This window comes from Homo sapiens, chromosome 1 (assembly GCF_000001405.40).
Source record: "Homo sapiens chromosome 1, GRCh38.p14 Primary Assembly".
Taxonomy (NCBI): domain Eukaryota; kingdom Metazoa; phylum Chordata; class Mammalia; order Primates; family Hominidae; genus Homo; species Homo sapiens.
In genome coordinates this window covers 178,838,930-178,849,085 of record NC_000001.11, presented here as the reverse complement: position 1 = coordinate 178,849,085, position 10,156 = coordinate 178,838,930, and the positions used below count along the sequence as shown (strand labels likewise).

Sequence of the window (10,156 nt, the reverse complement as noted above, 5' to 3'; positions counted from 1 at the left end):
TACAGGTAAAACATTAAGAATAATGCTTGACATTCGTAAGTACTCAGATTTAAACTATCATATTATTACTACTCATCTACGTACTTTCTGCAATACAAATCATAGCACCTTGCATAGAGTAGGTGATCAACAAACGTGTTTTAAAAACAATATCCGGGCCAGGCGTGGTGGCTCACATCTGTAATCCCAAGACTTTGGGAGGCCGAAGCAGGTGGATCACTTGAGCTCAGGAGTTTGAGACCAGCCTGGCCGACATGGTGAAACCCCATCTCTACTGAAAACACAAAAATTAGCCAGATGTGGCACATGCCTGTAAACCCAGCTACTCGGGAGGCTGAGGCAGAAGAATTGCTTGCAGTGGGCCGAGATTATGCCACTGCACTCGAGCCTGGGGGACAGAGTTAGACTCTTTCTCAAAAAACAAAACAATATCCAAGTTTTCGGGTATGAAATTACATTGATCCATTATCTTCACTTGCAAATCTAACAAAGCCATGACAGCTGTTATAGTAGGCAGTTAAGTGGCTGGACCAAAAATAAAAAGAAAACTTAAGGCAAGAAGAGACATAGTATGAATTTCAGCCTAAAGAGAGTCTTGTGAAAGACCAGGTTAGCTCATTTGTGTGGTAGGTAAGGTCCAAGAGCTACCTACTTTGCAGGTCATCTAGGAATAAAGATGGGTTTGCCTTATCTTCAGTAAGACTGAACTACAACCTTCTCTTAGAGCTGGTTTATAGAAGGATTCTTTTACTTAATTTTTCTTTTTGTTTTTTTTTAGACAGGGTCCCACTATGTCACCCAGGCTGGAGTGCAGTGGCATGATCTTAGCTCACTGTAATCTTGAACTCCTGGGCTCAAACAATCCTCCCACCTTAGCCTCCTGAGTAGCTGGGACTACAGGTGCATGCCACCATGCCCAGCTAATTTTCGTATTTTCTTTGTAGAGATGGGGTCTCACTGTGTTGCCCAGGTTGGTCTCAAACTCCTGGCCTCAAGTGATCCTCCCACCTTGGCCTCCCTAAGCACTGGGATTACAGGTGTGAGCCACTGTGTCCAGTCAAGAATAAGTTAATGAATTTTATCCTACAACAGATATAGACTCTATTCTGGACTAAATGGGAGGCCATCATTGCCTAGAACACCTGACCTCCTGAAGCAGATTTTAAAAATTTGAGATTTTGGAAAATGCCAAAATTAGACAGCAACTTGAAATTTAGTAGACACCTACAAATACACTATCTCTGGGCTTCATGCCTCGTAGAATAAAGATCAATTTTCATTCTACTGTTTACTTAACTCTGAGTCATGACAGGAGAGTGCTATTCTCTTAGCATTATATTTCTTAGGACTCCTGCTGGTAATATAAGCAGCAGAATAAACCTTCCACAATCATAAAAACATTTTAAATAACTTATAAATCTGTACTAAAGTAATATGGTTTACATATATTTAAATTAATCTTTGTAGTAAGTTAAAGATTATTATACCCTAACAAGTTTTTAGTCTTTTTATTCTAGTGTCTGTGAAAAATAACCAAGTAAGAAAACAATGATTCCACTTACAAGGCTATGACCTCGCCCTGAAAAAATGGCCATCTTATCTTAAACTAGCTCACTTTTCAGTTTTTTTTTTTCTTTTTGAGACAGAGTTTTGCTCTTGTTGCCCATGCTGAAGTGCAATGGCACAATCTCGGCTCACTGCAACCTCTGCCTCCCGGGTTCAAGTGATTCTCCTGCCTCAGCCTCCCCAGTAGCTGGGATTACAGGCGCCCACCACCACACCCAGCTAATTTTTGTATTTTCAGTAGAGATGGGGTTTCACCAAATTGGCCAGGCTAGTCTCGAACTCCTGACCTCAGGTGATCCGCCTGCTTTGGCCTCCCAAAGTGCTGGGATTACAGGCATGAGCCACCATGCCCGGCCACTTTTTAGTTTTATCAGTGGAGTTAACTGTTATCAAGTTATAATTGTACACATAATTACAGGAAAGACTGATGAATGAACTCAAAATTTTAACCTGAACACAGATACCCCAAATTTTAATGTAATCCATAATGCTTTCTTTGAGCTGTGAATGAAATACGTATCTTTACAGCAAGTCAATTTAAACTCCTTTGTCTCAGTTTCTTCACCTGTAAAATACAAGTATCATTTACCTTATAAAACTGCTGTTATGTATTAGATAATCTATATAAAGTACAGTGTCAGCTATATAGGCCTAAGTGTTGAATAAATGTTACTGAAATTATTACTTTCCTGCTAAAGCCTGCTTAAAAAAATTACAAAACAAATCACTGAAATATTCACAGTTGGAAACACCACTGGTAAAACTGTTGTTAGGGGAATCTGATTCTGTTTACAATTAGCATGCAGATCTGTATAGCTGCTGTTCTTATTTTTTTAGAAAGACAAGGCACTTAAAGAAAACACTATGAACATGGGGATGAAATTAACACAACCCCACCCCCAGCTCTTTTATTTCAGAAGTCTTTGGTCTAAAGTAAACTTCAGAAAACATATCAACAAAGAATTTAGAGGAATTTTAAATATATAAAAGAGTGAGGGTAAAAAAATATATAAATGAGGTAATGGAAAATGGGGATGTAATTCTGGCTAAAGAAAAGGGGCTAGCTGCCATTTGGTCAGAGCTTATTCTCAAATCCAAAAGAAAATCAGTGAAGATGCTTTACTGCTGTTTTAGTATACAATATATAACAACATATAATTAAAAGAATAGGGTAAGGTAATCCATAATGTATATTATTGACAAATCAAACTAAAGAAAGGAAAATGGAATAAAACTTGAAATATTAAAAGCCAATGACATTTATTGACCAACAGGCATTTCTGAGATCAGTGTCAGAGCCTTACATATTGAAGAAAAATTCTATCAAACGAGAGGAAAAATCTCCTTTTAATTCCTACAGATCAGCAAAAAGACTTGGACTTTGTTGAAATTATCTGAATAGAAATATGAATACAAAACTATTATTCTTGAAAACATTTTTACATGAGTTAGAAATTTCTAAAACTAAATAACTATATTCTACTGAATATTTAACAATTCAATATATGCAAAAACGACTGAAAACCAAATCGGTAAGATTCTTATCATTTTAGGTATGCTTTAAAAATGTCATTAACTATGATAAGGACACCACTAACAATGTAAGGCACAAGGCAATGATATGCATCTCTTCCAGGATATAGAAAAGAGGAGAGATTATTCATGAGGTTAATGATATCCTGGACCTTTGTAATTCCAGAGATATTAAGTTCTATAAAGGCAGGGACAAAGCCCATTGTAATCTCTTGCTATATATTTAGCACCAAGCACAGTGCTAAGTAAATACTAGGTGCCAGCTGAGGCACCAAAAACAAAACAAAATAACAACAACAAAAAAAATCAGGGGTGGGTAAGGAGTTGACCCATGCAAATATGCCACACAAATACATTTATTGTTTAAACAGAAATTAAATCAAAATCACTGAAACAATGGGAAGAGCTAGAAAGGGATAATTAGTTGAACCAAGAAACATTTATTATATGACTACTTTTGTTCTAGATGCTGTAAGGATAAACCCTTAAACCAAGACAAATAGGGGCTTACATTCTGTTGAGGAGGAGACAGATTAATGAAAATATCATAAACAGGGTGCTTTTCAGAGAGCAGTAGGCAAGGAACACTATATTACAGAGGGTTATAAGAAAAGTATTTCTCTTCTAACAAAAAAGTACTATCATGAAAACCTGACATATTAAATTAAAAATTAAATGGGGAAGGGGAAGAAGTCTCTCTCCAACAGGAAAAAGGAGTCATATCTAGATCCACCAAAAGAGTATACTCACATTCTACAGAGGGCTAGAGATTTTACAAAAACTTTTCTGTTACATTCTGCTTCTACTTAATAGGAAGCAGTACAGAGTACTGCAACAATTTACTGATTTCCACAGTTCAAAAAATATGGTTTTTTTTTTTTTTTTGAGATGGAGTCTTGCTCTGTCACCCAAGCTGGAGTGGGAATACAGGCGTGTGCCACCACACCCAGCTAATTTTTTGTATTTTTTAGTAGAGACGTGGTTTTGCCATGTTGGCCAGGCTGGTCTCGAACTCCTGACCTCAGGTGATCCACCTGCCTCAGCCTCCCAAAGTGCTAGGATGACAGGCATGAACCACCGCACCTAGCCAAAATATGCTTTCTTGGTCGAGCTACTGCATCTTTGTAGTACATAAAGTAGAAATGAGGCTTAGAAAAAGCACATTAAAGAATATTTATGATGTTTCATATAACTAAATTATTTTTTTCACAATATTCTAGTTTGCTCTCGTCAGCAAAATAAAACTTACCATGCCAAATTCTTCAACAAGCCCCTTAAGACTGTTCTCCAATGACAAGAACAAATAAGTGTTGTTAATGACTTTCAGATTTAAAAGCAATAATTCTCTTATAAAGCAATTTTTTCCTTCAGATTTGCCAACTATTCCTCTCTAGACAAATTATATCCTTATTCTAAGAATTTTTCACGATATTGTCCAAGCTGACTAATTTTTACCTTGAATGCAAACCAACAGAAGAGACAATTTTTCAAGGGATGATGAGTTGAGAGCCGAGAAAACATTTCTACTTCTTATAATTTAATCCACATTGAACTACAGATAAATTTGGTGGTATCAAAATAAGAGTTTTACCAGCATATAGGACTCTACTCCCTTTTACAAGCTTCACAAAAATTGGTAGGTTTTGGTTCTCATTTTTAGGGGAGAAAAAACTATTAGTTTGGACCATATACCTCATGTTAAGAAATCATTAGCGGTTACCTTTTTTCTATGCACTATAGATATTTCATGGATATATTCTTTCCATAATAACCTCTGCAGACATAATGAATAAAGCATAGCATTATGCAAACTCTGTATACTTGAAGAGGAATAGTTAAATGAAGCTACCAATTTGCATAATGAGTTTTACCTTTTAATTGTTCTTAGGGCAACTTCTATCAAATGTACAGCATTTATAAATGCTGAAGTTTTTGTCAACTGTACTAAGCCTCCCTTCACATGAATAGAAAAGGATTCTGAATCAAAACCATGTATGTTTTAATAGATTAAATACATTTAATCTAACGGTTTGCTATAAGGCAAAGCAGTCATTACATTAAAAGGATGATTTTCATACTGGAAACGAACTAAACTGAGTCATAAAAACTCATCTGACAAATGTTTCATTTTCCTTTCCCATGTCTACCAAATATTTATGCCCAGGAGTCCACAATAATCTCACAATCAAGATGCTTCTTCACATACCCAGATAGGGATGAACTATATGAAGAATACCAGTATCTAAAATTATGCAGATGCTATAGTGTATGTTCTTAATTTCCTTCTGTTTTTTTTTCCCTTTTTGGTTTCTTTCTTTCTTTTTTTTTTTTTAATTATACTTTAAGTTTTAGGGTACATGTACACAATGTGCAGGTTTGTTACATATGTATACATGCGCCATGTTGGTGCACTGCACCCACTAACTCGTCATCTAGCATTAGGTATATCTCCCAATGCTATCCCTCCCCCCTCCCCCCACCCCACCACAGTCCCCAGAGTGTGATATTCCCCTTCCTGTGTCCATGTGATCTCATTGTTCAGTTCCCACCTATGAGTGAGAATATGTGGTGTTTGGTTTTTTGATCTTGCGATAGTTTACTGAGAATGATGATTTCCAATTTCATCCATGTCCCTACAAAGGACATGAACTCATCATTTTTTATGGCTGCATAGTATTCCATGGTGTATATGTGCCACATTTTCTTAATCCAGTCTATCATTGTTGGACATTTGGGTTGGTTCCAAGTCTTTGCTATTGTGAATAATGCCGCAATAAACATACGTGTGCATGTGTCTTTATAGCAGCATGATTTATAGTCATTTGGGTATATACCCAGTAATGGGATGGCTGGGTCAAATGGTAATTCTAGTTCTAGATCCCTGAGGAATCGCCACACTGACTTCCACAATGGTTGAACTAGTTTACAGTCCCACCAACAGTGTAAAACTGTTCCTATTTCTCCACATCCTCTCCAGCACCTGTCGTTTCCTGACTTTTTAATGATTGCCATTCTAACTGGTGTGAGATGGTATCTCATAGTGGTTTTGATTTGCATTTCTCTGATGGCCAGTGATGGTGAGCATTTTTTCATGTGTTTTTTGGCTGCATAAATGTCTTCTTTTGAGAAGTGTCTGTTCATGTCCTTCGCCCACTTTTTGATGGGGTTGTTTGTTTTTTTCTTGTAAATTTGTTTGAGTTCACTGTAGATTCTGGATATTAGCCCTTTGTCAGATGAGTAGGTTGCAAAAATTTTCTCCCATTTTGTAGGTTGCCTGTTCACTCTGATGGTAGTTTCTTTTGCTGTGCAGAAGCTCTTTAGTTTAATTAGATCCCATTTGTCAATTTTGTCTTTTGTTGCCATTGCTTTTGGTGTTTTGGACATGAAGTCCTTGCCCATGCCTATGTCCTGAATGGTGATGCCTAGGTTTTCTTCTAGGGTTTTTATGGTTTTAGGTCTAACGTTTAAATCTTTAATCCATCTTGAATTGATTTTTGTATAAGGTGTAAGGAAGGGATCCAGTTTCAGCTTCCTACATATGGCTAGCCAGTTTTCCCAGCACCATTTATTAAATAGGGAATCCTTTCCCCATTGCTTGTTTTTCTCAGGTTTGTCAAAGATCAGATAGCTGTAGGTATGCGGCGTTATTTCTGAGGGCTCTGTTCTGTTCCATTGATCTATATCTCTGTTTTGGTACCAGTACCATGCTGTTTTGGTTACTGTAGCCTTGTAGTATAGTTTGAAGTCAGGTAGTGTGATTCCTCCAGCTTTGTTCTTTTGGCTTAGGATTGACTTGGCAATGCGGGCTCTTTTTTGGTTCCATATGAACTTTAAAGTAGTTTTTTCCAATTCTGTGAAGAAAGTCATTGGTAGCTTGATGGGGATGGCATTGAATCTGTAAATTACCTTGGGCAGTATGGCCATTTTCACGATATTGATTCTTCCTACCCATGAGCATGGAATGTTCTTCCATTTGTTTGTATCCTCTTTTATTTCCTTGAGCAGTGGTTTGTAGTTCTCCTTGAAGAGGTGCTTCACATCCCTTGTAAGTTGGATTCCTAGGTATTTTATTCTCTTTGAAGCAATTGTGAATGGGAGTTCACTCATGATTTGGCTCTCTGTTTGTCTGTTGTTGGTGTATAAGAATGCTTGTGATTTTTGTACATTGATTTTGTATCCTGAGACTTTGCTGAAGTTGCTTATCAGCTTAAGGAGATTTTGGGCTGAGACAATGGGGTTTTCTAGATATACAATCATGTCGTCTGCAAACAGGGACAATTTGACTTCCTCTTTTCCTAATTGAATACCCTTTATTTCCTTCTCCTGTCTAATTGCCCTGGCCAGAACTTCCAACACTATGTTGAATAGGAGTGGTGAGAGAGGGCATCCCTGTCTTGTGCCAGTTTTCAAAGGGAATGCTTCCAGTTTTTGCCCATTCAGTATGATATTGGCTGTGGGTTTGTCATAGATAGCTCTTATTATTTTGAAATACGTCCCATCAATACCTAATTTATTGGGAGTTTTTAGCATGAAGGGTTGTTGAATTTTGTCAAAGGCTTTTTCTGCATCTATTGAGATAATCATGTGGTTTTTGTCTTTGGCTCTGTTTATATGCTGGATTACATTTATTGATTTGCATATATTGAACCAGCCTTGCATCCCAGCGATGAAGCCCACTTGATCATGGTGGATAAGCTTTTTGATGTGCTGCTGGATTCGGTTTGCCAGTATTTTATTGAGGATTTTTGCATCAATGTTCATCAAGGATATTGGTCTAAAATTCTCTTTTTTTGTTGTGTCTCTGCCAGGCTTTGGTATCAGGATGATGCTGGCCTCATAAAATGAGTTAGGGAGGATTCCCTCTTTTTCTATTGATTGGAATAGTTTCAGAAGGAATGGTACCAGCAACTCCTTGTACCTCTGGTAGAATTTGGCTGTGAATCCATCTGGTCCTGGACTTTCTTTGGTTGGTAGGCTATTAATTATTGCCTCAATTTCAGAGCCTGTTATTGGTCTATTCAGGGATTCAACTTCTTCCTGGTTTAGTCTTGGGAGGGTGTATGTGTCCAGGAATTTATCCATTTCTTCTAGATTTTCTAGTTTATGTGCAGAGAGGTGTTTACAGTATTCTCTGATGGTAGTTTGTATTTCTGTGGGATCGGTAGTGATATCCCCTTTATCATTTTTTATTGTGTCTGTTTGATTCCTCCCTTTTCTTTATTATATATATAGTCTTGCTAGTGGTCTATTTTGTTGATCTTTTAAAAAAACACCAGCTCCTGGATTCATGGATTTTCTTGAAGGGTTTTTTGTGTCTCTATCTCCTTCAGTTCTGCTCTGATCTTAGTTATTTCTTGCCTTCTGCTAGCTTTTGAAGGTGTTTGCTCTTGCTTCTCTAGTTCAATTGTGATGTTAGGGTGTCAATTTTAGATCTTTCCTGCTTTCTCTTGTGGGCATTTAGTGCTATAAATTTCCCTCTACACACTGCTTTAAATGTGTCCCAGAGATTCTGGTATGTTGTGTCTTTGTTCTCATTGGTTTCAAAGAACAGCTTTATTTCTGCCTTCATTTTGTTATGTACCCAGTAGTCATTCAGGAGCAGGTTGTTCAGTTTCCATGTAGTTGAGCGATTTTGAGTGAGTTTCTTAATCCTGAGTTCTAGTTTGATTGCACTGTGGTCTGAGAGGCAGTTTGTTGTAATTTATGTTCTTTTACATTTGCTGAGGAGTGCTTTACTTCCAACTATGTGGTCAATTTTGGAATAAGTGCAACATGGTGCTGAGAAGAATGTATATTCTGTTGATTTGGGGTGGAGAGTTCTGTAGATGTCTATTAGGTCTGCTTGGTGCAGAGCTGAGTTCAATTCCTGGATATCCTTGTTAACCTTCTGTCTTGTTGATCTGTCTAATGTTGACAGTGGGGTGTTAAAGTCTCCCATTATTATTGTGTGGGAGTCTAAGTCTCTTTGTAGGTCTCTAAGGACTTGCTTTATGAATCTGGGTGCTCCTGTATTGGGTGCATATATATTTAGGATAGTTAGCTCTTCTTGTTGAATTGATCCCTTTACCATTATGTAATGGCTTTGTCTCTTTTGATCTTTGTTGGTTTAAAGTGTTTTATCAGAGACTAGGATCGCAACCCCTTTTTTTGTTTTCCATTTGCTTGGCAGATCTTCCTCCATCCCTTTATTTTGAGCCTATGTGTGTCCCTGCACATGAGATGGGTCTCCTGAATACAGCACACTGATGGGTCTTCACTCTTTATCCAATTTGCCAGTCTGTGTCTTTTAATTGGAGCATTTAGCCCATTTACATTTAGTTAATATTGTTATGTGTGAATTTGATCCTGTCATTATGATGTTCGCTGGTTATTTTGCTCATTAGTTGATGCAGTTTCTTCCTAGCATCAATGGTCTCTACAATTTGGCATGTTTTTGCAGTGGCTGGTACCAGTTGTTCCTTTCCATGTTTAGTGCTTCCTTCAGGAGCTCTTGTAAGGCAGGCCTGGTGGTGACAAAATATCTCAGCATTTGCTTGTCTGTAAAGGATTTTATTTCTCCTTCACTTATGAAGCTTAGTTTGGCTGGATATGAAATTCTGGGTTGAAAATTCTTTTCTTTAAGAATGCTGAATATTGGCCCTCACTCTCTTCTGCCTTGTAGAGTTTCTGCAGAGAGATCTGCTGTTAGTTTGATGGGCTTCCCTTTGAGGGTAACCTGACCTTTCTCTCTGGCTGTCCTTAACATTTTTTCCTTCATTTCAACTTTGGTGAATCTGGCAATTATGTGTCTTGGAGTTGCTCTTCTCGAGGAGTATCTTTGTGGCATTCTCTGTATTTCCTGAATTTGAATGTTGGCCTGCCTTGCTAGGTTGGTGAAGTTCTCCTGGATAATATCCTGCAGAGTGTTTTCCAACTTGGTTCCATTCTCCCTGTCACTTTCGGGTATACCAATCAGACGCAGGTTTGGTCTTTTCACATAGTCCCATTTTTCTTGGAGGCTTTGTTCGTTTCTTTTTACTTTTTTCTCTAAACTTCTCTTCTCGCTTCATTTCATTCA

The 10,156-nt window shown here is 37.6% G+C and overlaps 1 protein-coding gene across 9 annotated transcripts in view; it reads right to left on the bottom strand.

Moving 5' to 3' along the window:
• Positions 1–10,156, bottom strand: part of RALGPS2 (Ral GEF with PH domain and SH3 binding motif 2) — a 196,597-nt gene that overhangs the window by 72,755 nt on the left and 113,686 nt on the right. The gene's annotated exons all lie outside the window — the stretch shown is intronic.